This window comes from Homo sapiens, chromosome 3, assembly GCF_000001405.40.
Source record: "Homo sapiens chromosome 3, GRCh38.p14 Primary Assembly".
Lineage (NCBI taxonomy): Eukaryota > Metazoa > Chordata > Mammalia > Primates > Hominidae > Homo > Homo sapiens.
Window position 1 is genome coordinate 148,193,120 of NC_000003.12, and position 27,476 is coordinate 148,220,595.

The 27,476-nt window shown below is 35.3% G+C and overlaps 1 long non-coding RNA gene across 2 annotated transcripts; it reads right to left on the minus strand.

The window, feature by feature from the left end:
• Positions 1-27,476, minus strand: LINC02045 (long intergenic non-protein coding RNA 2045). Of its 2 annotated transcripts, none has more exons than XR_924565.1 (6): positions 27,391-27,476; positions 16,906-16,969; positions 14,727-14,815; positions 6,528-6,654; positions 2,610-2,715; positions 1-87 (listed from the first exon to the last, which is right to left on the minus strand). It is a non-coding gene; the product is annotated as a long intergenic non-protein coding RNA 2045 (long non-coding RNA). The 2 variants fall into 2 exon arrangements; XR_924564.1 differs by lacking the exon at positions 27,391-27,476 and adding an exon at positions 19,358-19,391.

Sequence of the window (27,476 nt, forward strand, 5' to 3'; positions counted from 1 at the left end):
TTTTCCCATCAGTACCCAAGTAAATACACTGTCATATAGGGATGTCTTCCTTCAATTATCTAATGTCCTTTGCTGGCACATAATGACCTGAGAATGAGGGAAGAAACAGGGCTTTCAATAGCACTACCAATTTTTTTCTCTTACTCTCAATTGGCCCCTGCTATTAAGAAACTGCCTAACTTCCCTTTTTCATCATTAATATAATGTCAAAGTGGAATTAATTAAACCATTTTTGGTAAAACCATAAAATAAAATGCAGCCAACAAAAACTATGTCATAGATAAATTTTATGTTATAACCTAAATGAACAACACAAATTACAAAACCTATACAGTTTAAATCTACCTTTTAGTTGAAACATATATGTACCTGTTTATAGAACAGTACAGAAGGACATATGTGGAAATAATAAATATGTATGTATATATTATATGTGTGTGTATGTATATCTGAACAATGGGATTATGGCTATGTTTAATCTTTCTGTTTACTTACATTACTATTTTCCAACAGTGAAAAAACTTGTTAAAATTATTAATATTTTTTCAAAATGTAGAAATACATCAAACTTTTTTATTATACTTGTATATTATAAATCCATAGCCATGTATGAAAACAGACACCTCTTTGTGAGAAAAAAATTCATTTGTCAGCATTAGTTTGAAGATAAAAATGAGACACATGGTGCTGGTAGATTAAACCAAGATTTAATCAAGATTAAACTTAGTTTAAAAAAAACAGATTTTAGGCACATTCTTAACAATCTGTATAACCTTTGCAAAGTTGTGTAATCATCTCTAGTAATATTTCCTCATACATAAAGGAGAGAGCTGGACTAGAGATTGTTCCTTCAACTTTGAATCTCGATGACTATTTCATATCACATATAACATTTGAATTCTCCAAATAGGTAGACTTTAATATGAGGAAACAATACTTTTCCAAGATAATAAGGCCACAAATGTGCATACATTAAAAACTATATAATGCTTATTATCATCATAAAACCCCAAATAAAAAATAGCAAATACCATTTGGATTTACTATATTTCAGGCACCGTTCAAAATTATTTACATGAATTAACGGTTTAAATTCTCCCCAAAAGCTTAAAAGCTATGTTATAATTACCTTCACTGTTATAAAGGTAAAGACATCCCCCTACGAATAGATTAGTATTATTAGCCTCCATTTTTTAAAAAAAGAAGAAAACATGACAAAATGTAGTCAGTGTAAACATGTGGTAATTCCTCTTTTCAATAAGTTAATTCTACAAAAAGTGCTCATTAAAGCCAGAACATTTAAAGATTTGTTTTTCTTTATATTTTTTTCATATCCAGTAATTAGAATATAGTTAAGTGAAAATGGTATGTGAGCCCTCTACCTCTAAAATTACATGATTATTTAGGATCATATTTTGAAAATGCACTTGAAGGATGGATATATATTGTAGGTTCAGGACTGTGAGAGAGGAAGCTGGTTGGAATTCATGTTTCATTTCAACTACCTCAGATCCTTCATGTGACCTTTATCGGGCAACCATTGTCTGGTACCCTGCACTGCAATACTTTTTTACAGTTATTATTATACTTTAAGTTCTGGGACACATGTGCAGGTTTGTTACATAGGTATACACTTGCCATGGTGGTTTGCTGTACCCATCAACCCATCATCTACATTAGGTATTTTTTCTAATGCTATCCCTCCCCTAACACTCCACCCGCCAACAAGCCCCTGGGTGTGATGTTCCCCTCCCTGTGTCTATGTGTTCTCATTGTTCAACTCACTTATGAGTGAGAACATGTGGTGTTTCGTATTCTGTTCCTGTGTTAGTTTGCTGAGAATGATGGTTTCCAGCTTCATCCACGTCCCTGAAAAGGACATGAACTCATCCTTTTTTTATGGCTGCATAGTACTCCATGGTGTATAGGCCTGTGCTGCAATTCTTATAGTGGGCACTAGATGTCAGGCCTAAAGTCTAGGTGTAGCAATCAAGGTGACCCTTTCCTTGATGGCCAGTTTTCAAAAGGTACCATGTCTATTGAGTTACATATTTCTAATATCAATGAAAGTTCCTCACTATATTCCTCACTATGTCTATTACAACGGCAATATAAGATAGAATGTTATGTGCAACCAATGCACTACCAGATCAAGTTGGTGTGTCCCTTGACAGTAAAGAACAGGTCTCTATATGGTCCACACATAGTATAGTGTATGTTTTACAGAAAGTTCTTAAGAAATGATTTTTTTTTGTTGAAGTGCTTCTGCCTTAATATTGGATCAATTATTGAGGAATACCTTTCTATTATGAATTCATATAATTTTGATGACCTTATTGGGCTAACCTACTGCAAGCACATAGAGATAATCTAAGAGCATACTAATGGAAATTCCTATATTGATCATTTTCATTATGTATATACGCATGCATGAGAGATCCTAAGTAGACATGGTCATCTCTTCCCTAGTTCACTTTCTCTAAGATAATGTAAATAGTAACCACATCTTTTCCAACCATTTGGCAGTACATGGATAATTAGCTGTCTTCAATTCTTTCAAAGAAGAATGTAATTCAACAATGAAAAAAACTTCTAAAATAAGAGGTTACCTTTTAGTCAAAATTTATGTCAAAATTATAGCTCAGGTCAGATGGTCAATCTCAGGTCAAGCTCAGAGATGAAAAAAAAAAATCCACCGGAGTAGGACATGCTCACCTGTAGAACAAATAGTAGGTCTTTAGGCAGTGCTTGTAATCAGGAATGCATGTGACAGGAAATGTATAGAGGTGTAGGTAGGCAGAGTGTTAACATTACAAAACTCTGCCACAGGTATCTAAAAAACGATGAGACTTGGTGCTGAAAACCAGACTTCAGCCTCCAGGAGAACTGGCAGAAGCAAGCTGGTCAGCGAGAAACAGGACCAACAAGGTAGAGAGGCTGGGTCAAAATTAAGAAAGGGGTATGTACATAATCAACGAGACAACAGTTCTATCTCTAGAACCAAGTACATGGTCAGAGAAAGATATCAGCTAGAAAGCTAGAGAAAAAGATTCAACTAGCTATTGAACCATTTAATTATTAACGTAAACCATGCAGAATCCATCTAGAAAGAAACATAATTGATCTCTTAGCCTGGGATGGGGCAAATCTGGAGCAAATAACGTATAAGTGTGAATATTGGAAGAAACTGAGTTAGGAAACCAGATATTCTTAAAATTTACCAAGAACCCTTTTGCTTGCTAGGCGTGGTGGTGAATTCAATAAGAGCAGAAAGCATGACTCCTGAATTTGAATAAAAGCAACTGAGTAGACAAAATGTTTAAAAATATTTTACCTCAGTGGAAAATTATAATAGCTTCTTTTGAACTAAAATTCCTGTGCTTCTAATCTCTCAGGAACATCACAATGATATGATCAGAAAAAATATTTACTAAGGATTACATTTTTGTACATGTTTATGCTACTATAGTTCTGGCACTCTTAGGCATCCTCATAAGTGGTCTAATAGACACTGAGCATAATGAAGAGGAATCGACAATTTTCTATAAACTATGTATGGGGTCCAGTATGCAAAACTGGAGCCACATAATCTTTTTCCGTGATTTCTTATGAAGAAGCAAACTAACATGTTAGAATGAGATAGCAGTAGGTTTCCATGTTGAATTTATCACTTACTAGAGGTGTGATTATTGAGGCTTTATCTTTGAGATTCAGTTTTCTCAACTGTAAAATGGGAATAATTGTAGGTAACATGAAGAATTATTGTGAGAGTTAGTAGATACTCAGGCACACAGGTAGTATTCATGAAATTACTACCTATTATTATTCCATTGTGTCATTGTTATGAGTCCACTGAGTTCTTATACCCCTACCCATTAGCACCCAGCCATTAGGGGATTTTAATGACCCAAGTTACTTGTTATAAACTTCCCTTTCCCCATTCGTAAAATGGGTTTATTGGAGAGGCCACAGAAAGTCAAAGAGGAACATTTTTAAAACCAGCTGGCACTCAACTTTCCCGTAGGATAGTATCAACTCCCTCCAATGAACCATTCAAAACCCACTGAGGGCTCCAATAGATCTGGCGGGTTGCTGGGCTCAATGCCAGTCACAAGTCAAGGACCTCTCCTGACACCACAGGCTGAAATTGAAGAAAATAATCTAGTGACTGTTGGTTGCCTCTTTGCCTCAAGACTGCTCATAGTGAATGAAACAAACCCACCAGTCACTGAGCAATTAAGCATGTAAAGTAGATGGAAAACACCTCAAAATGAACAGTGCTGACTCTGCAGGATGTTGAAAGCCATTCCAGAATATGAATCAGGCTAAATTCCAAACAGTTACTCTATGTGCAAATAACCATAGTGACATGGAATTGATTCCTCATTCCCCTTTGGGGCCTTAATCAATATGCATAAGGAAAGCCAGATTGTTTCATGCTCTCCTATTCTATTTCCTACATTATAAGGCAAGGATAAATCAGAATAATATTGTGAGACTAGTTTTCTCAAGGTAGTACCATCAATAGATTATTGTCAAAGTACAATAATTAACTCATAATTTGATTGATAATTTATTTAGCAGAATCTTTAAGAAACCTCTGGACATTATCTGGTGAAACCCCAAAAAGCTCTAAGTTGATTAAACTCTGATACTGATGTTATTTTATACTATCACATGACTACCCACAACACAATACACACACACCCACAAACACACACACACACTCACACACACACCTTTTTTGTGCACATCACATACTTTTCAAAAACATCATTCTCAATTCATCTGGGAAAAACTCAGGGTTTCATGGTTGACATAAAATACCTAAATTTTAAAACTTATCACCCATGTGGAAAATGAAGTCTGGAAAGATATTTTGCTAAAAGATTCCACAGGCAGGTGACTTTATATTTCTCTTATTCATCACTAGGTGACTATTTCAATTCCTGTAGCTATTATTTCAAAATATCTCACTCTCTTCAGGTTCCCAGCCACTGCCCCAGATCAATCACACTTCTAAAGGCAATCATTCAAAGTAATAACTTCTACTTCCCTGTTCTTGGCCTTAAAACATCTCTATAGCTACATTCTTTATGAGAGTGAGGTGATTTTTCTTCAGAGTCCAACCCTGCCACCATGACCTAAGATATTTCTTTCTTTTTTATTAATATTATACTTTAGGTTCTAGGGAACATGTGCACAACATGCAGGTTTGTTACATATGTATATATGTGCCATGTTGGTGTGCTGCACCCATTAACTCGTCATTTACATTAGGTATATCTCCTAATGCTATCCCTTCCCCCTCTCCCCACCCCACGACAGGCCAGGCCCCGGTGTGTGACATTCCCCACCCTGTGTCCAAGTGTTCTCATTGTTCAATTCCCACCTATGAGTGAGAACATGTGGTGTTTGGTTTCCTGTCCTTGTGATAGTTTGCTCAGAATGATGGTTTCCAGCTTCATCCATGTCCTTACAAAGGACATGAACTTATCCTTTTTTATGGCTGCATAGTATTCCATGGTATATATGCGCCACATTTTCTTAATCTAGTCTATCATTGATGGACATTTGGGTTGGTTCCAAGTCTTTGCTATTGTGAATAGTGCTGCAAGAAACATACGTGTGCATGTGTCTTTATAGCAGCATGATTTATAATCCTTTGGGTATATACCCAGTAATGGGATGGCTGGGTCAAATGGTATTTCTAGTTCTAGATCCTTAAGGAATTGCCACACTGTCTTCCACAATGGTTGAACTAGTTTACAGTCCCACCAACAGTGTAAAAGTGTTCCTATTTCTCCACATCCTCTCCAGCACCTGTTGTTTCCTGACTTTTTAATGATCACCATTCTAACTGGTGTGAGATAGTATCTCATTGTTGTTTTGATTTGCATTTCTCTGCTGGCCAGTGATGATGAGCATGTTTTCTTGTGTCTGTTGGCTGCATAAATGTCTTCTTTTGAGAAGTGTCTGTTCATATCCTTCACCCACTTTTTGATGGGGTTGTTTGATTTTTTCTTCTGAATTTGTTTAAGTTCTTCGTAGATTCTTGATATTAGCCCTTTGTCAGATGGGTAGATTGTAAAAATTTTCTCCCATTCTGTGGGTTGCCTGTTCACTCTGATTGTAGTTTCTTTTGCTGTGCAGAAGCTCCTTAGTTTAATTAGATCCCATTTGTCTATTTTGGCTTTTGTTGCCATTGCTTTTGGTGTTTTAGTCATGAAGTCCTTGCCCATGCCTATGTCCTGAATGGTATTGCCTAGGTTTTCTTCTAGGGTTTTTATGGTTTTAGGTCTAACATTTAAGTCTGTAATCCATCTTGAATTAATTTTTATATAAGGCACAAGGAAGGGATCCAGTTTCAGCTTTCTACATATGACTAGCCTGTTTTCCAGCACCATTTATTAAATAGGGATTCCTTTCCCCATTTCTTGTTTTTGCCAGGTTCTTACTCTATCTAGCTCTCCTCCATACTCTTTTGCTCACTGACTGTATAACTGATAGGGTTACCTATACTACACCTGGTGTGTCCAGGGAGATAGTTTGGACAATTTGATTTCTGGAACTCATTCTCGCCTCTACTTCCAAAGACGTACTTCCTCCCATGTTCCTTTTCTCAGTTCATGGCACCAACACCTCTTTGTGTTTCTAAGGAGAGAAGCCCAGAATCATCAGTATATCTCTGAGTCAATTGGTACTTACTATAAAACAAATACTTTTTCAATGCATTTTACTTGCATTTGCCCATGAAACTTTTCAACAACCCTATTGGATAGGTACTATTAACCCACATATTTTACAGATGATAAAATAATGAGGCACAGAAAAATTGCAAGTAAGTCAATCTGACTTCAGAGACTTTGCTTATAACGCTATAATCACTTAAAACATGGCTCTTTTCCTTCTTTCTACACTCTAATCAACTATAAACTCCTGTTCGTTCTATCTCCATGCACGTCTCTTCATTTCTATTCCCACTGACTTAGATTCAGACTTTGTTTTTAGTGGCTACCTCATCGACTTCTCTGCCTTTAGTTTTCTAGTTTCTCTTCCTTCTGGTCCAATTTCCAAAAAGCATGGTTCTAATTATTTCTCTGTACCTCTTGATAATATCCAAGAGCTTCTTTTTAACTTTTGAATTAAACATAACTCCTCAGCTGGCATTATTACCTCTATATATCTTTGTGGATCCATCTCCCAAACTAGTGTATGCACTTTTCCCATGAGTTTTCAATCATATGCTTTTCATTCCTTTTAGTGTTGGCCTCATATACCTGCAAAATACACTGCACTTCTACACTGTGCAGAATATATTGTGCTTCTCCTAAAACCAAAGCCTAGTAGAGGATGAAGATTTCAAATCCAGCCTCTTGCAGAATCTCACGCATCTATGGAACTGACTTCTTTCCTATGTCTCTGTAGCACCTCATATTCAAAACTGATGTCCAAGGCACAGGCCAGGCAGATCAACAGGTGTGTGTCTTTCTCTGTTCATATCAGCACCAAATTCCCAGGAAATTTATTTTTGTCCAATTACATAAGTAATCAAACTAAGCACTGAACACAGTATCCTAGTCTGCTATTCTGGCACAACATGGACATTCAATAAACAGGTAATTGAACTGGAGAGAAGGATCCCAAATCCCACTCTGATTTCCCCTGTCCTTTTCTGATTCAACACTTGAAACACCCAGTTTAACCCTGTATTCTCCTATGATCTCTTCTTTAGATGCCCGCATCCATACTCTCTTCTGACTTCTTTTGATGTGAATCTCTTTGGATCACTAGGGGTATTACTCAGACCTAGAGTAAATCTTTTCCCTTGGCTTGCTGTACAAATACGCAGCAGGGAAGTCTGGACTGACTCTGCTTTCTCTTAGCTTCAAGTTCTCTCTCCTTTGACTCTGTCTTCCCTTTGCTTTTGATGGGTGACCCAGGTAGGTGGTCATGCCAACAATCTGCTAGGGATAAATGATGATAACTCTGCACGTAACCTCAAACATGAATGTTCTCTTACCCACCTTAGCTAGGTAAACCTAGTGATACTCTACTCATATTTCAAGGCCTATCTCATTTACCATATTTATGGGGAAATCCTTAATTAAGACCATCTGATAAATCCTATTTTTTTGAGCATTTGTCTGTGTGCCAGACACCACACTATGTACTTTTTGTGCATTGCACCCAATCTTTACAAAGACAAGTTTGTCATTATTAGGCCTACATTTTTAGATATGAAAATTGAGGTTTGAGGAAGTTAAGTGGCATGGTCAGGGTCATACTGAGTTGAAATCAAACTCAGGACCATTTCACTTTTCATTTCTGTATAGTAATTTACAGAATGTTCTGTTTGTGCAATTATTTGTATGCTATAGTTATCTTACCATTTTTATTATACTTCGGCCCTTGTAAAGGAAGATAACCTATCTTCCTAAGTTTTGTATCCACCTGTAACAGCTAATACAGTGTTTTGAACATAGTAGGAATTCAACACCTATTTTTTGAATGGAATAATTGACAATAAGTTATTTGAATGTTATAAGGTCAGTTTTTACACTTATGTGAGTTTTCAGACTTTATTCTTTTGAGGTACATAAAGAGAACCAATGTGCATTCTCTCTCTCTCTCTCTGTCTCTCTCTCCTCTGTCTTTCTAAGTCACTGGATTTAGAAGTTGGATATATTTGACAGTTGAAATGAGATGCACCAAGACAGGACTAGAGCTTCTGCATTTTTATGTCACCGATAGCATTTAGCCAACTCAGTTGGAACTGTTTTTTTTCTTATCTTTTGTAAATCTATTGAGCAGAGAATGGGGATACAATAGAGGGTAAATAATCCAAATTCCCTTAGACTAACCTAGAATTTGTGAAAATCCAGGTGGAGAGAAAAACTAGGTTTACAGATTTGTTGTTGTTTTCTTCTTCTCAGTAGAAGGGAAAAAATAAGGCATGCATGACTAGTTTTAACTGAACAAGTGAACAACATAAGCCACATTGAACAGGGATGTTTATCTGGCTACTTGAGAGAGAACACACTGAATTCAAGTACTTTGGGAGCATCTTTCCAAATGCAAGTGGTTGGTTACAATTTAAGGAGAGCCTGAGGTTGTTGTGGCTGATACTCTGCTTTTCCAATTACCAATAACTTTCACTTGTTCATTAAAGTGGAGATTCTATACAGCTCTTGGTTCCAATTCAGCTCAATTACATAAGTATGTATTGAGTGTCCACGTTATATCAGACTGGGACACTGTGTTCAGTGCTTAGTTCAATTACCTATGTGTCCTGGCCAAAAATAAAACTGTATTTCTTCCAAAAAATCTGTAATTCATATGTTCACACCAATCCTGACTGGTTTTCACTTCAATTAATCAAAATTGATAAAATTTCATTTTGAAGTTTTGAGGAAGTGAAATTAAGGAACTTGTGTACAGCAGTAAGGGAAACCAATGAATGACTGAAATTTCAGACTAGGAGAACAGCGCCCCCTTCCTCATTTGCCCTCTGGGACTCTGTAGAAGTCTTAGCTTGTTAGTACATTGTCTGATTTTACACATTGAACCCCAGTGCAGTAGTAAACCAGACCCAAGAATCAATAAAAAACAATTTAAGTGTTAATATAACATCATGCCAAAATTCACCTATTTTATAATATATTAAATATTGAGCTTAGACTTACTGAAATTCCTGTGAGATGCTACCTATAAAACAAGAAGATTTAATAGGTAGTGCTGTCAGTGATACCTTAAGAAAAAAAGCCATGCGTGTTCCATTGCATGTGTATTTCATCGATTTTTAAAGGAGTATATTTTAGATAGGTCTTCGCTGTATGGATTCACATAAGCTGGGTTTGTGAGATTAAAATAAAAATAAACATATAAATGGCTATTTTCCAGGAAGATAATTAGTATCTGGCAATTTATTCTTCCAAGCTCACAATGTTGAAAGTCTGCACAAAAACAACTTTGTAAAAATCACTATTGTCAGGTCTCTTTTAGACCATTGTGTATAATTGCTATGGAAATATGAAAATGTCTCTTTCTTTCTCTCTCAACTAGCACATGATAACCCATTCAGTCTTTCACAAGTTTGCTGTAAATGATGCCAGTCAAAGAGTCCAATGAGACTGTCAGACATTAGCGTATTAGCCATTATCTGTTACACTTCTGGACCAAAATAACAAATAATATGCCTGGAGTTGCTGCCATTTGTGACTGCTAGTTTCCCTGCATGGCATATGCCTAGAGAGTCTCAGATGAGAGGTGATTGCACAAAACTGTGATTGTGAGATGACTTAGCAGAACCCGTGATGATATCCTAATGGACTCCTGCTGGGGGGAACAGGAGTAATTGTTTGTCAGGAGAGGGAACACATCTGTAGGAAGGCATCTTCTGCAAACCAAGCAGCCATGTGGAAAGAGAAAGTGAGAAACACAGTGCTGGGAGCCGACAGTGGAGAAAGTGCACAGGTCGAATCGAATAAAGCAGTAGCTACAAGGGGCAGCAATAGGGCTAGAGAGGAGCTGGTCGAGTAAGATTGAAGTTGTATGCTTTGGAAAACAACACAAACAATTATTTAAAAATGAAATGCTGGCCTGCTAAAGTTACATCATTTTTTTTTTTTTTCTGGCAACCTCAATTCATAATGAAGATGCAAAACAGGAAAATGCTGGAGAAGGAATGAGAGTACCAAACTGGGAGAAAGCTTGCATAATCATACATTCTCTAGGAGTGTTTTCACAGCTCGAGCATTTCCTTCAATTATAGTCCTTTTAATGTTATATTTTACATCCAATTACTTCCTTTGTTCACTCCTTACTGTAGTGATCTAAAACCAGTATTTTTAAAACCATACTTTTAAAATAAAGGCAAAGCTATTGAATTTACATGCATTAGAAACATCAATGTCGTCTTGTACAACTGAAGGATACTCATAGCTTTGTTTGCTGCTGCTCTAAGCATCCTCTATTTGATCAGAAATAAGTGAGAGCAAGTAAGCTAATTAATGCTGCAAAATGCTAATTCTCTCCACCTTTTATCCTGTGTCTAAATTACGATTTTATCTAATTTCTGAGGAAAAGAAATGCTCATGCCAGTGGAGCCTGTCATTATTAAAATATAAATCAATACATAAAAGAATATTGGCCTGTGGGAAAGACTGTAAAAAAAATATTTAATGCCTTCTGCAAACAGCTGTGCTCCTGACCCAGCAGTTTTTGTTTGCTTTACTGACAAGCTACTAGATTGTATCTATTTCAGCACTTCTGGCACATCTGAAGATGTTTCCAACAACATAGATTTTAAAATGTGAAATTTTATATCAATGCTGCTGTAATTAAAATAAAATAAATTTTAGGCAAATAAACTCCCCCACCCCCACCTCTCAAATTTACAAATACAATTGGTGTTAAACATGAGATTAAACATAACAGAATGAGAATTTTAGTTCAATGGTTCAGAAGAGCGCAAATAAATTTTTATATCAACCTGAGGCCCATGAAACTTGGGAGATGCTGTATATGTGAATGTCTACACGAAAAAAATTGCTTCTTGTTTCTTTTAGTTGAAAAGCTTTCAACCATCAACAGCCATTTAAAATAAGTGGTATTGATAATTATGATGATAGGTGACTCCCATGAGGGTAAGAAAGTAAAGGAAGATGAAGTGAAGGAGGAAACAGATCCATGCTAATGTCATTTTAAAAATAATACTAAGATTTAGGGTGACCAATGAAGATTTTCTCAAGATATGAGGCCTTCAGTGCTAAAACCAAGAAAGTCCCAAGTAAGCAAGGATGAGCTGATCACCCCATGAATTGTAATTCCACATGTAAGCCCATGTAATATAGATCTCATCAAAATTAAAGACAAATTTTCATTACCTTACAACTTCTCACACTTCAGAATCCCTGGTTAAATAGCTTGCCTTTAACTATAATTTTTTGTACATTTGCTTATATCTACCCCAATACCCATACATTTTGTCTCAGCATCATTGGTCAAATTATTTACATTTGTTGAGCCCATTGGAACTAATTCAATATCCATACCCTAAGTTTCAAAATTCCTTCTTCTGCTTTTTTTTTCTCTTTAATGTTAAAACCATCAGAAAGAATCATTCTTTCACAGTCCTAAATGACATGTTTTGAATGCAACTGTGGTCTGAAGACCCAAGTACAAGGAAGATTTATCCTTCCCATGGTGGGTCATTACAAGCAAACTATTCCTTTTAAAAACAATCATGTCTATGATCTCTGGTCATGCATATATCATACTACAGATAACTACATTGTATTTCTTAGGAATAAGAGTCTCAATTAAGACAAATTGAGTCTCAATTAGGACAAATTATAATACACATTTGAATTCATAATATTGTCACCACCAACAAAAGTAATGTTCTTTTGCTTCTATCACTATCTAATTTTCCTTGATTATGTTGTATCATAAAATTAAAAGACTCAACAAAGGTTAGGGGGTTTGAGCTGGGTCTACTAGTGCAGTTTTTCTAACATTCCTAAGTTGAGACATGATTTCTGTATGGTTAATTTTGAAATACATGTTCAGACAGAGTAACTAACATGCTTTAGTCGCTATAGGTGGCTAAGTTTAAGCACAAATTGGCATCTAATCCTGGAGGGCAAATCCAATCTATTCGTAGGCAGAATTTGCACATCCTCACAGTTTTAAAAAACTTCAGCACACAAGCTTGAGACATTGGTATAATCAAGGACTCACATAAGGCTTGAAGAGTCCATGAAAATAGAAATAAAACCTAAAATTCATTCTTGGTAGAAGCACACACACACACAAACACACATACACACACACACACACACAGTTTTTAAGAGTTTAAAAATAGCTTCAACACACTTTGAAACATCATAAATAGGAAAACATGTAACCTACTTTCTCACAAGTTCAAAGCATTCCGCTACTCTCCCAGAACTAGCAACAGATGCTTTCTTATAAACTATGTATTCATTCCTACTTTTGGCTGCTCTTAATCTAGATCAAGATCTTATCTTAGTGTTATACTGGCAACATGGATTGATCACTTGTGACAGATCCACTGGCTCCAGTTTCCATTAGCTGAAGATTTTGCTGCCAGGATAATCTCAATAAAATACTGTTTTCATCACGTACCTCCACAGCCCAGTATCATCAGTAACACTGCACTGCACATGGAATGAAGTCCAGACTACTTGTGCTCATAGTCAACCTGATCCCAAACCACTTTCATTATTTTGTTCTTTAAAATAATTTCCCTTGTTGTGAAAGTATATCATCACATTGCAGAAATTCTGGAAAATAAACCTTTCTCTGATAAATTCTCATAGCCTTGATAGCTCCCTTCTCTGAACAGCAGGCACATGGTCCTAAACTGGGCCTTGGTGTTTAAGTGTCCTAGATGTGTATGCCTCTGTCTCTTTGCTTATTTTCTGTCACTTTAGCTGGCCAGATGCAAAACAAATGCTCTAAAACAATGCCCATGTGGTTTTCTCCCACGTCCCATGTAATTCTTTCACAACTTAGCTACATTTAGTGCATTTCAATTGTTCAAATTTTTATTTTCATCAAACATACCAAAAGAACACAAATTCTGGACCCATGAAGTCATCTCCTAGAAGCCTGTGGAAATTTTCTTTGAAAAAACCAACCACCTCCCTCCTAACTTAAAAAGTTGACCTGTTATTATAATCTAGGACCAATTTATCAGAAGCAGCCAAAAACTTTAAATAATTGTGAGAATTTTCATGTATTTAAAATCGATTTATATAGATATTCTCAGTTTATGAGCTACAGCATGACCTAATTAGAAATCACAGACATGTTATGCTATGAGTCTGTAGGAAAAATGGTTAAAACACAATATTTGGGCCACGCGCGGTGGCTTATGCCTGCAATCCTAGCACTTTGGGAGGCCAAGGCGAGTGGATCTCCTGAGGTCAGGAGTTCAAGACCAGCCTGGCCAACATGGCGAAACCCCATCTCTACTAAAAAGATACAAAAATTAGCCAGGTGTGGTGGTGCGTGCCTGTAGTCTCAGCTACTCAGGATGCTGAGGCACGAGAATCATTTGAACCCAGGAGGCGGAGGTTGCAGTGAGCCAAGATCACACCACTGCACTCCAGCCTGGGTGTCAGAGCAAGACTCTATCTCAAAACAAACAAACAAACAAAAAACAGTATTTGATCCTAACCAACCATGAACAGCACCATAGTAGGAAAATAAAGTACAAATGATTGACTTGAAATAAAATGTAAAGAAAATCTTTCTGTACACATCAAATAACACACACACACATCCACATACACACACTCTCTCTCTTTTGAATTTCATTGTCAAATTTGTTCTCCCCGAAACTTTGTTAGCAGAATAAGAATTATTAGCTAGCCCCATAAAAAGAAGAAAAATGAGAGTAACTTCCATGAAGTGATCCCCACGGCTCTTTTGCATGTGAATATATTATGCTCAAACTTCAACCTTAGAGAGCTAAGTGATCATTACCATTCATGGCTAACTACAGTGACCAAAACCTCAAAGTAATTGCAGGCCACAGATAGGCTTTGCAAGTAGATTTACTTTCCATTAAAAAGAGCTGGCAACTGATGCCCATAACAACTTGGATGAATCTCAAAAGCATCACGTTGAGTGAAGGAAGCCATTCTCAAAAGGTTACGTACTGTATTGTTAGCAACAGAACGTATCCGACTCACATGGCACCAAAATATGTAACCAGAGGCATATCCTCCATATGGATCTGCAGCAACCTGAGTTCTTGTCTCCTCATAAGAAAGAATATGACCTAAGGGCATAAAGCAGAAGGAGAGACCAAGGCAAGTTTTAGAGTGGGAGTGAAAGATTATTTAAAAGCTTTAGAATTAAAGTACACTTGGAAGAAGGCCAAGTGAGTGACTTGAGAGATCAAGAGCACAGTTTGACCTTTTGATGTGGGGTTTTATACATTGGCATACTTCTGGGGTCTTGCGTTACTTCTCCCCTGATTCTTTGCTTGGGTTGGGCTGTCCACATGCACGTGCTTGAGCCCACTTGCCCAACTTCTGAGATCTTATCAGGAAGCTGCTGATCAGCAGTTTCAGATGTTTTGTATCTATTAGGTGACTGCCTTTTGCTGGCGCTGGCTGTGACAAATTATTATTTTAGAGAGACATTTAAGAACCACGTTACCGTCACCTGGTCGCCTGACATTCCTGATGTGTGTGTATGTCAGGGGAGCCCTTTCCTTCTCTGCTCATGCGAGACTAGCTACCTACTATAATAGCATAATTCCATTTCTACAACATTCTCAAAAAGACAAAACTATAGAGATAGAGAAAAGATTACTGGTTGTTAGAGGAGGTAGGCAAAGGGGTGACTATCAGTTGATGGAGAGAGTATGGGGGACAATGAATCTATTTTTTATCTTGACTATGACAGTGATTAAATGAATCTACACATGCATTAAAATTTCATAGATGTATAAACTAAAACAACAATAAACCAATGAGTGCATGTGAAAATTGGTGAGATTTGAATAAGGGCTGTAGTTTAATTAGTAATGTAGCAATGCTAGTTTCCTGTTTTTGATAATTCTACTATGGTTATCTAAGATGATATCGCTGGGGGAAACTGGGTAAAGGGCACACAAAATTTTTCTGTACACTTTTTGTAAATTTTATGAAAGCTTAAAATTATTTCAAAATAAAAAGTTGTTTTAAAAAGTAGGAAACTAAATATGTTAATAAGAGCCTCGTCTTCAGTGATTAGATATTTGCAGTCTTATTTTTTAAAAGAAGGTGTGATCAATATAAAATAATAAAAAGGGATGACTTCTGAAGACATAGTTAACTTTATGGTATTACAAATAATTATCTTGTCTTTACCTACATATTTTGGACTGGTCTTTGAGTTAGAGTCATTACTACAATAACATAATAATATACACAATCATCATTCCTGCCTGTGATTTGGGCTTTTTCAGTACCTACCTCATTTCCTGTTCTTGAGTGTCAGGCTTATAGAACTAACAGCTTAATAGGCACCCACCCCTTAAAGTCAACAAGGTTAAAACTTTGCCAAATATTATTACTCTGTTACACCATCTTTTGCCTTCACTTCACTAACTATTAGTCAGCTCCTCCTAACCCAATTTTCTTTCAATTGCTTTTTCCTACTTTATTCAGTAGGGTCAGCAGGGAATAAACACAAGACAAAATCCTGTGAGACATCCTCACAACTGTTTATTCCAAACATCCAATTTAAACCAAGTCTCTCTGATTATTTCTCTTAGGTATATGCTGAATCTTACCTCTTCATTCTCATTGCCATTGCCAAGGCATTTTTCTCAACTGTGCTATTATAGCAACCTGTGATTCATATCCTTAATTCCAAATATATAACATTCAAGTGTATCAGAATGATCTTTGAATGTGATCCCATTGCTCAGAACCCTATTGTCTACCAAACTAAGATCCAATCTGCTTTACATAAAGATACACTCTCAAAAATCTGTCCCTTACCTACGTTTCTAGCTTAATATCTCATCCACTTCCCTTTTGAAATGTATACTTCAAAATACTCTTTTAGGCTGTTTACAGTACCCTAAAAGAACCGAGATCACGCCACTGCACTCCAGCCTGGATGACAGAGCGAGACTCTGTCTCAAAAAAAAAAAAAAAAAAAAAAAAAAAAAGAACCTTGTGGGTTCCCTTCACAAACTGTTTTCTTTGGCCTAAATTCTCTTGTTACTATCTTCTTCCTGCAGAACCCCTAGTCATTTTCCAAACCGTGGCACAGTTACGACTTTCTCTGAAATCATATAATAAAAATTAAGTATCCCTTTATTATCTTTTACATATGTTTATTACTAAGCACATATTTTGTTGATATGCCTACCTTTTCCACTCTTTGTAACTTCTGAATCTAAATCATGACTTGTTAAGCTTTGTAATCCTGGTGCCTAGGATAAAATAGAGTAGGTCTCAGTAAGTGGACCATTGAATACATACTTGACTAGTTAATGGATAAATTAATAAGTGTTTATGTGTGTCTTTAAAGTTATGTATTTAGCAGTGATATAAATGAAAGTTGTATAATAAAATACTTGATGTCTAACATGCTCCAACTTATGAGACTTGCTTATTTACTGCTATCTGAGTTTGAGCAAGTTTTTTGTCCAACTAGGTTCAGAAGTTGTGATAGAAACAGGACTGGTAGGGAAGTCTCAGTTGTTAACTGGGTCAGACAGAAAATGAACTGGGTTCAGTAGAAACAGGACTGGGTCCTACAAAGAGGCCTCCATTGTCTGACTGAATCAGACACACGAAAAACTGGGAGATGAAGAGAAGATTGTTAATGGGTACAAAAATACACTTAGATAGCAGGAATACCAGCATTTGATAATACAATAGGAAAATTATAGGTAACAATAACTTATTACATATTTCAAAATAGCTAGGAGAAAAAAATTGTAAAGTCCTGAAAACAAAAATAAAATAAAAATATAAAAAATAAAATACAAAAATATTTGAGGTAATTACCCTTATTTAATTATAACACATTCTATACAGGTATCACAATATCACATAGGTGATAATAGTTGTACCCAAAATAGGTACAACTATTGTGTATTAATAATAAATAAATAAAAATTTAAAAATTACACAAGAAAAAAGGTATACTGAAAATGACTTTATTAATACATTTAATAAGAATGTCATCATAGCTAACTCAAATTTTTATTTTATATTTTGTTAGTTTTGAAGATATTGTACCTAGAGTGATCCTCTGAATGTGACTAGCTGCTTACTGGCTGTCATTCATGAACCTGGAATATATACATTTTCTAAAAATTACAGATTTTAAACACTTTTCTAATACATTCTAGCTTTTTATTACATCTAATGCTTCTTGTTCTTGCACCATAAAAATGCAATACTCAAATAGCTTTTTGAAAATGTTAACAGTTTATAATTTTATTGATGAAAGGACAGCCATACTCTTTGCTCCACAAATGGAAAGTGTTTTCACTTTTAGATATATCAACAGCGATTAGAATAATCAATTCAATGATTCTTTAATTTCTAAATTACATATTTTCCTCTAGTAACCTTTTATACACATCTGCCTTCATCATTTGACAATTTATGATGCATAGCAACTAAATTTTGGTACAGAAACATCCCAAATTATGAAAGAATACATGTATGTGGGATAGTCCAGGTTCTTGTTCCCAAATGTTGTGCATTGAAGTTATTTTTATTGACTACATGAATGAAAATACCATATTTCCTTTGTTTATAGAAATATTCTGTTCATTTACTTATTGATTCTCAAGTTTGATAAATTTCCTCTGATGATACATAGCTTGGGACTGTGCTAAGATGATAAATTTCACCATTATTTTTAGAATCTGGACAAGAGAGTTGTTCTCTGTCTCTTTGCAGTCATATTCTGATTTATCTAACAATTATGAAATGTTTCCAATTGTTATTTTTTTCTCTTTGAGCTTATGGCCAGAAAACAAAGACCGGAATTCTTAACTGTGTTCAATAAATGCTTTAAAAATATTTAAAAAAACAAACAAAGAAACAAATAAAAAAACTGAACAGGGTTCAGTAGGTAGGTAAGGTTACTGGAAGACAGGGAATCATGGGTTCACCTGGATTCAGGGAGTCTAGAACTCCACCTTCTGGAACTTTATCCAGGGCTAGTTTGTACCATGAGAGAGCACATGACCTTGGGGTGGTCAAGGGTCAGTCTGTACTGTGGAAGAGCCTATGACCATTTTATGGGTGTGTGGTAGCTGTTTGAGTCAGACAGAAACTGGATTGGGTCCAAAGTCTGGAACACTTCCCTTTGAAACTCAAATTTTATGTAAAAAAATTTCTAGAATGTGCACTCATTAGAGAAATGAGTGAACCTTACCAAAGGTAATTTGGAATTACAGTGACCCAAACTAGGAAGCTTTAGTTTGGGTAAAATTGTTTATTTGTGGGATACATTTAGAAAATGACTTTTTAAACCCAGAAACAATAATATTTGCAAATTTGCCATAGAGCATTTAAAACACTAAAAACAGGAGAAAAAAAAAAAGAAAAAATAGGCTTTTTATAGAGATTGACTCCTTAGATCAATGGAGTCTGCTTCTGTAAGTTACACCTTGAGTTCAGAACAATAACAATAGTAAACTGTATCCTAATCCAACATAGAAGAGGCTTTTTGAATCCCATTCGTTAATGAGCTCCACCCTGAACTCAGTAATTTAATTGAAAGATCACGGGCTGAATTGGAAAGCAACCTATTTTTAGTTATTTTGAGACCTGTCTTTAGTGAAGGAAATTTATACCTGTGGAGAGTCTCCATTCACAGGGCTGTCTCCCTCTCTGCACTGGGAAGAGGGAAGGACTAAATCACTAGAGGCTTTTATGATGTAAAAGGCAAAAAAGACTTGGGCCTATATATACAGCAAGACTCATGTTTGGCCATTTTGTGTCAATGAGGTTTTCCATTTATGTCTTTCTTTGTCTCAGCTGGTTATGATATTTAGTATATTTAGTCCAAAATCTGATTACAGTGATCAACCTAATTAGTAATCACTTAGGGCAATAATTAGTCAGGTCAATCAAGGAAAGGCCAGGGGTCCCTTGACTCAACCTGCTTGCTGAAATGAGTAAAGTGATCAAGAGGTGAAGAAAATATACTCAGAATGAATTGTTTTTGAGAAAGTTGAATGGACCTTAGAAGAATAGATGATGGTTTGTAGCAAGGTTTGTCTGGGTGTGGTAAAATCTCTCCTGCGATAAGAGTTAATCTTCAGAGGAGTGATGATAGTTGAGTCTGTTTGACGGCTCTGTCTTTAGGATGATAAGGGGAATTCAGAAGGACTTGCCTTGCCTACCTACCTGTTGGTAATTACCCACTCACTAGTATCTGCAAATGAACAGTGGAATTGAACTCCTCATGCCAACTATTTTTGATGCCATTTATCTAGTACCAGACAGAGTGCTGGTTCATAATTTAATAATCTATAATGAATAAATTCTTTAAGTGAGACTTTTTTTTCACATGATTAAAAATGCTAGGTATATTTGGGTCTGTTAATAAACATTAAAAGGTTTGTAAAAAATGTTAATATACAACCGTTCAGAATTGTATATTTTTTAGGTTGTCACTAGAAATTAAGGTCACCAAGAATAAAAAATTCTAATTAAAACTAGAAAATTAAAATTCTAACTAAGACTAGAAAACTAGAAATAATAACAAAGAATTAAATGAGGAAAGTGAGACATGTTTTTGGTAAGTGAAGCTATAAGGTATGAAAGATATGTCTTTTGTTGAGGAGAAGTAATTTTGTCTAGTTTGGAGGGTATTTAAAACTTGTTTCAGAGTGAGTAAATGAAGGAAGGGATGATAGGTAATGTACAAAAAGGTTGTAGGTTTGTGGAAGATAAATCATGTCAAAGGAATCTTGCGTGTGATCAAGCCGGCTAAAATTAGAAGGGAACCTTTTATAAGTTTTTCCAAGAATTGAGCATTAATATCAAAAGTACACTGATGCAAAATTAGAGTTTGGTTTCTTATGTTAAAACAAGGTTTTCTTGGAGAAATGATCTGCTCTTAATAGAAAATAGAGCTTTAAAAGATCTTTTGATTACTTAGGAAAATTGTGTTTTCTCTACCAATGAGCTGGAGTTTCTTTTTTATAGCTATGTGGCTTCTGCTATTAGCCCTTAAAGTCTTTTGATTTTCATTTTGGTTAAATGAATGATATTACTTCCACAGTGATCTGTAATCTTATTTTGACCAAGAGTTTTAAACCTTTGATATTTTTGACAAGCTTCCTAAAGTCAAGTTCTAGTTTAGGGTTTTTGACTTCAATCTAATTTTGGAACATTCCAGAAGAACCCCAGAGTGTCTGAAAGAGATATATTAAACTAATTAGGCATATTTCATATATTACATTATATATTATTTTATATAATAAATTATATATTAAACTAATTAGGCTTATTTAACAATTAAATTACATTGTCAAAATAAATAATGCTAAACCTTCTTTAAGTTGTATTGATATAGACATGTTATAAAGGTGTTTCAGAAATTGTATGAAATTCATAGAAATTTAATAGTCTTTGCATAACAATTTTGGTAATAATTCTACTCATTATTTTAATATGTTATGTCCAATAGAGGTAACCAAATTATCTTGTCAATTGCTGGTTATAACAAACTCTCATCAGATTTTTGTCATGGCTATTCTAAGCCTTTGTAATTCACAGTTATAGTTTTGATTTTTCTCTAAAAGTATTTGCAACCAGCTATAGTGTAAAAAGTGTTTTTTTCTTCAAGAAAGTTCATGGAAAGGACTTTAGTACAGGTTTTTGATAACTTTAAGATCATACCACTAGATTGGATACAGATTTCAGGAACTTGTGTTGATTGTTTCATAAAACTAACTCAACATCAAAAAGAATAAAAATTCATTGAATATCAAGAAAATGTTTCGGCAGCTTTTCATGCAAGGTCAGCCAATGCTGAAATTGTTAAGATGTTCAAATTAAATAAACTTCCTAAGATCGATCCAATAAAATTCTTCTATGATAATTTATTAAACAGTGCAATGCACCTGATTTAGAAAAGCAAGGTTTGTATCTGAAAGGATACAAATTTTTATCAAGAATGGACTCACAGAGGGCCCAGACAGCTGCCTATTTCTTTCTGAGTCCTGGAGGCTTCCATTATTAAGATTCTTGCACTTCACGACTCATCACAAAATAGGCAAGATGATTCAAATTACTAACAAATATTGATGGAATGACTAATAAAATTGCTAAAATACTTTATGGCTCCTGTTTGGTTTTTCAAATACATCATCCCAGGAGGACAATAAAAGCTTCAGGTGCTACATTTATGCTATCTAATGAACAATTTGAACATTTACAAACGGATTTCACTCAATTGCCACTTTCAATGGGTATAAATATGATCTTGTAATAGACTATGTTCTCTGGTTATATAGAGGCTTTCCATGCAGGAAGGCCAATGTTATAACAGTGGCTGAAAAGTTATTTGAAAGTGTGTTTTCTTTATGGGGCATTCCTGGAAAAATCATCAGTAATAGTGGTACTAATTTTATTGGAAAAATTATAAAACAGTTTAACAGGGTGTTACTAACAATAGCTTTGCCACTGTTCCTATCATTCTCAGTCTTCTGTGACTAGAAAGAATAAATAGAATTTTGAAATTTTAATTGGCAAGGTCAATTGGATTGCCTTGGCCAAGTTATAATCATTATGAAATAGTTACTGGAAGGCCTGTACCCTTAATACATGTGTCTCCTGCTTTTCTAAATTGTGATATGGCCAAATGTTATATGACTTTTATATATTATACCAGGTTGTATTTTCACCAGATAAAGGAGGTTTTCATGATTCACCAACTGATGATATCCAGACCTTTCATATCTAGAACCCAGAGACTGGGTCTTCAGATGGAAGTGGCATCTGAAAGGACTGTCCTTGAACCCTATTGGAAAGGGCCATTCCAGGTTCTTTTACCACCTATACTTCATTAAAACTTCAGGGCATTAAACTTTGGGTTTAAATTTTATAATTTAAAAGGGCCTCTCCAGAGCCTTAGAACTGTCCACCTATTGGAGACTTTCAGGTAAAGCTGACCAGGCAAGGTTTTTCCCTAAAAGTAGATGACTTGTTGGATGTGGACAGCTTTTCCCCAAGACATTGGAATAAGATTCCTTATCATAATGAGGCTCTTACACCTGTTACCGTTTCCTTGCCTATACCTACTTCTTTTGTTTGACAAGATAATTTTGTAACTAGATTTCTGGACCCACTTGTTCTCACTCCCTATTTTAATTTAACCCAGCTATAAGTGCTAGATTACTTACTAGCTGAATAGGGAGGAGTTTGTGCAGTATAATATTTCTGTTGCACATAAATGAATACTTTGGATATTGCAGAGACTTAGTTACAAAAAATTAACATACAAGCTATTTGGTCAAAATGAAAAGACTCCTTCTCCAGCTTCATTCTTTAATAGATTTGATTTTAGTTGGTTTGGTTCATGAGGAACTTGGCTAAGGAATATACTCCAAATCCTTGGTATTATTCTTTTGTTACCATAACACCAGGCATTCAGTCCAGGTCTTGCTGCTCACCTTACAGAAAGTCAATCACTGAGGCAATTATTATAGCCAAAGAAGAAGGCTTTAATTGGGTGTTGCAGCCAAGGAAATGGAGATTAGTCTCAAATCCATCTCCCTGACCAACTAAAATTACGGGATTATATAGCAGGGAATAAATGTAATAATGTGTGGGAAAACAGGAGCTAGGGAGGGATAAGGAAACAATCATGATGAATGAGGGATCCAACATCTCATTGTCTGGATGTGGTGATCTGGTGAGTTTCAGTTCTTTGACGCTTTTTGAGAGGTCTGAGGGTCTTTTTCTGAGGAAAGAACTCAGATAAAACAAAGGTAAGCTTCAAGCTTTAAGACTAGAAGCGTCGATTTTTATGTTTATCCAAAAAAACTGTCTATAGGACTATTATATTGGTTTCACTCATCATAATAGTAGAGCCGCTGGTGCACTGTATTCTTTCGTGGAGTCTTAAATGTCTATGTGCAGAAATATGCTGGACACTAAATGGTCTCTCTTTGGCTGAGATGACAAGAACTCAAAGAAATATAGGATCATGAGGACATCATAACCTATGAACAACATGTTGAGTGCAGTAACCCAGTATGATGGTGACTAAGAGTAGTGCTAATACCCTAAGTTTTGGTCATACACACACATAGACAGAAGGGGGAAATAGTCAAATAAAATTCATGGAAGGCTATTGATTTGGACTAGGCTACTGCACTAAGCCTAACAAGATAAACTAAAATGTAGTTTAACTATAGTAGCTGAGCTTCAGTTAATTTCAGGAAGCTCTATCACAAATTAACCAATTAAGCTATAACCAATCAAGATGTCTCTACACCACACTTCCATTTCCTATATATACTGTCAGATCATGTTATTGATTGGAGTTCTCTGAACCTCTTCTGGTTTGGAAAACTGCCTGATTCACAAATTGTCTTTGCTTTGTTTTGTTTTGCTTTTCTTTGCTCAAAGTAATTCAGCTGAAATGTAAACGTAACCAGTGTTTTTCTCTATTTAAAACCAGAAAAAGAACATGAGTTATCCAACTTGTATGTTCATTGGGTTGTACCCACTTTGAAGTTATATTTGTCTTCAACCTATCCCTGTTCCCAGGAAATGAAACAATGTGCTGATAATGAATCAATAATATGTTGATACCGTGCATGGGATTAATCAAGAGCCCTTATTCTCTTTCAGGACAATTTCAAGCTGCCAGTTATCAGCAGACGCATGCAAGCTGGAGAGTAAGCCAAGCACATGCTTGATAGAAACAATCAGGCTGCACATACTAACCTTAGCAGTGAAATTCAGAAACGGCCTTTTGAGTTTCTAGGCCCCAAAGCTAGAAATGCACACAACCTTAGGTTAAATACCAATCCCCTCATTCTCTCCTTGGGTCAACTAGTACACATTCAAATTACTTAACCTTGAGTTGCTTCTCTTGTAGTGAAGACACTAACTTACCTTTTCCTTTATACTTGAGAGGAGTATCTAATTAAAATAAAGATTTTCTCCACATTTGGATATAAATGCTTAATTTTTGCAGCTGACCATTTTACCACTTCTTGCTTCCTCATTATATATTGAGTAAATATCAACTTCATAGAGTAGAATAAACCATTACAGCTCTGATTAAAGTGACCCTAACAATCTGCTGTTGATTGCCTCCTTCAGGGAGAATTCATTGATAAATAATAATATAAGGAAACAAAAGATGCTATTTTAGTTGCTCTACTAAAAACCAATTCTTAGAAGTAAGGCAATATAAAAACAATAAAAAGTTTGTTTGTTCCTCTTTTTATTTTCCCCACTTAAAATTATATGGCAATAAAACATTCTTTCTATTCCAACTCTCTAATTTTACACATGAAAAAATATATAACTAGAAAAGTAAAAGGTACTGTCCCACCTTCACCAAGTTAGTTGTTTCCAGAATGTTGATTCAGTTAAAATTCTACACTTACAGATTCTATCTGCACTTTCCCTGACTTTACTGACTTCTAAACTCCAGACCTGATTCTTTATCTGGGTGGGCAGTGTTCTTACTCAATACTAAATGTTCCCTTGGCCTGAATGTGTGGATTTCACAACGTTCTGATGCCAGCCAGTAAAGAGTTCCAATTCTAGCCTCTCCTAAACTGTATTCTAGCAACTAGCACGCCTGCTGAATATGTGCCAGATGTGCACGGCACCTCCCACATTCTCTTTTAGGTCCATTCTCTACTCATCTTCATCTTACTCTGTTCCCTAGAGGCTAACCAATATGGACTGTAAAAATTTTTCCCCTTATTTTCTGGTTTCTGAGTGGATTTAGCCAATTGGGAGTATCCACAGGGGGTGGGAAAAGAAAGATAATAAAGTCACAATATTTATTCCCATAGTTCCCTCTCTGCAGAATTAACTCCCTCAACCCAAGGCCACAGCACCCATTGGAAACCTTCTCACTAGGAAACAGACACCTGCTACTACTGGCTGCACTATCACTTGTGGTTTGTCTTAACCATACTCGCAGCCTTCATAATTGAATTCTCCTCAAACGACCACTTTCTTTCTTGTTCGAACCCAGACCAATACATAAAAAGAAGAATTACAATATAAAGCACTGGAAGAACAAAATAATGTCTACTCATCTCTATCTCAGCTGTATTCCTATCTCATTTTCCAAAATTCTATTCACTGGCAATGCAAAGTCTAAGCGTAAAAACTTTATCGTCTACACTCTGTGCCATACTCCTTATTAAAATGATGTTTGAAAAGACATAGCACTTAACCTAAAAAATAGTGGCATGTAAATTATACCACATCTTTAATTTGCAAAGCATATGAAATGGTTTTACTTAAGCTCCTTTATAATAATTCTTATCTCTTAAAATATTAAAATGTGGAAATGCTCTTAGAACCTTTTGATATGTTACATGTTACATCTTAATTGAGCATATTCCTGTTAAAGATGCTGACAGTCTTACTACACACGTGCAATAATACTGTAATCAGTTAAAAAAGTGATTAACAGCATAGAGTTAAATCAGTCTACTGTGGAAGGACAGTGTCTCTTCCCCCACTTTGAAAGTTACATTTTAAATCCCCCATGTAACCTCATGTAAAAATAAGCTTATGATTGAGGGGCTAAAATATAATTTTCAAAAAATTCAAAACATGATCCTTATATAAATATAGAATAAACACTATAAAAGATTGTATTAATTAATTAATAAGAGAATCAGTAAGATGGTAAGTCTGGTTCAAAGGAGATTTTGAGAAACAGAGACTTTTATAATCAGCCAAAAGAGTAATGAAATGGATTTGCTGGTGTCCATAGACTGCAGTCCAAAACTGCTTAACGGAGACATAAAATGGTGATACTTGGAGTTATCTTTTCTATCATCCAGAAATACATAAGTTACCATGTAAATGGAAAATAATAAAAATGATTAAGTAGCAAATAGTTAAGTAAATACAGGTGCATTCTCCTATAAAATTAAATAATTATTGAGTGAGTCTGTAAAATAATGACATTGAAAAGCCAGTTAGTCATCCTCTATTTTAAAGTTTTGGATACTTTTTTTTAAACAAAAAATATTAACACTCCATGCAACATGACGTTGTGTTGAATAAGGTTATTATTAAACCTATGCTTACACACAATTTTTTAATTTATTGAAATCAAAAACATATAGCAAGATCTTCTTTGATATCTTATTAAAAATAAAAAAATCCCTTTCTGCGGCTTAGAATTTCTTATTCTCTCCTACTTCTCTGAATATTTCAAGTCAGAATGGGAAGTGTGAATAAAGTTCATGTGATTCTTTTCTTTCTATCTAACTTTAATGAATTTCTTTTAGAAATAATCCCATGAATAAATAAATTATCAGAGTATGTAGCTTTTCTTCCATTTATGATGACTATGCGACTTTTCTCACACATGCAAATTAAATTTTTAAGTTATTGATTTTACTAGATGCAGACTTTAGAAACAACCACTTGCTTTTAGAAAGAGTTTTGTTTTTTCTTACTCAGGCTATTCCTAAAAGCTTCCAAATATTTGCCCCTTTGGGGTTTTCTTGAACACTGGTAACATGATAGGACAAATCAGTTTTCCACAAAAGCAAAGGTAATAAAACTCAAGAAAATGTGGATAACCAAAGTTACAAAGATGAAAAAAATAAGAGAAAATATGCCACAGAAAATGAAAAGTAATGGCTATGATATTTACCATATGTCAAAAACTGAGATGGGTGCATTTAATACTATAGGTCAAAAACCGAGATGGGTGCATTTCATACCATATTAGCTTCTTCT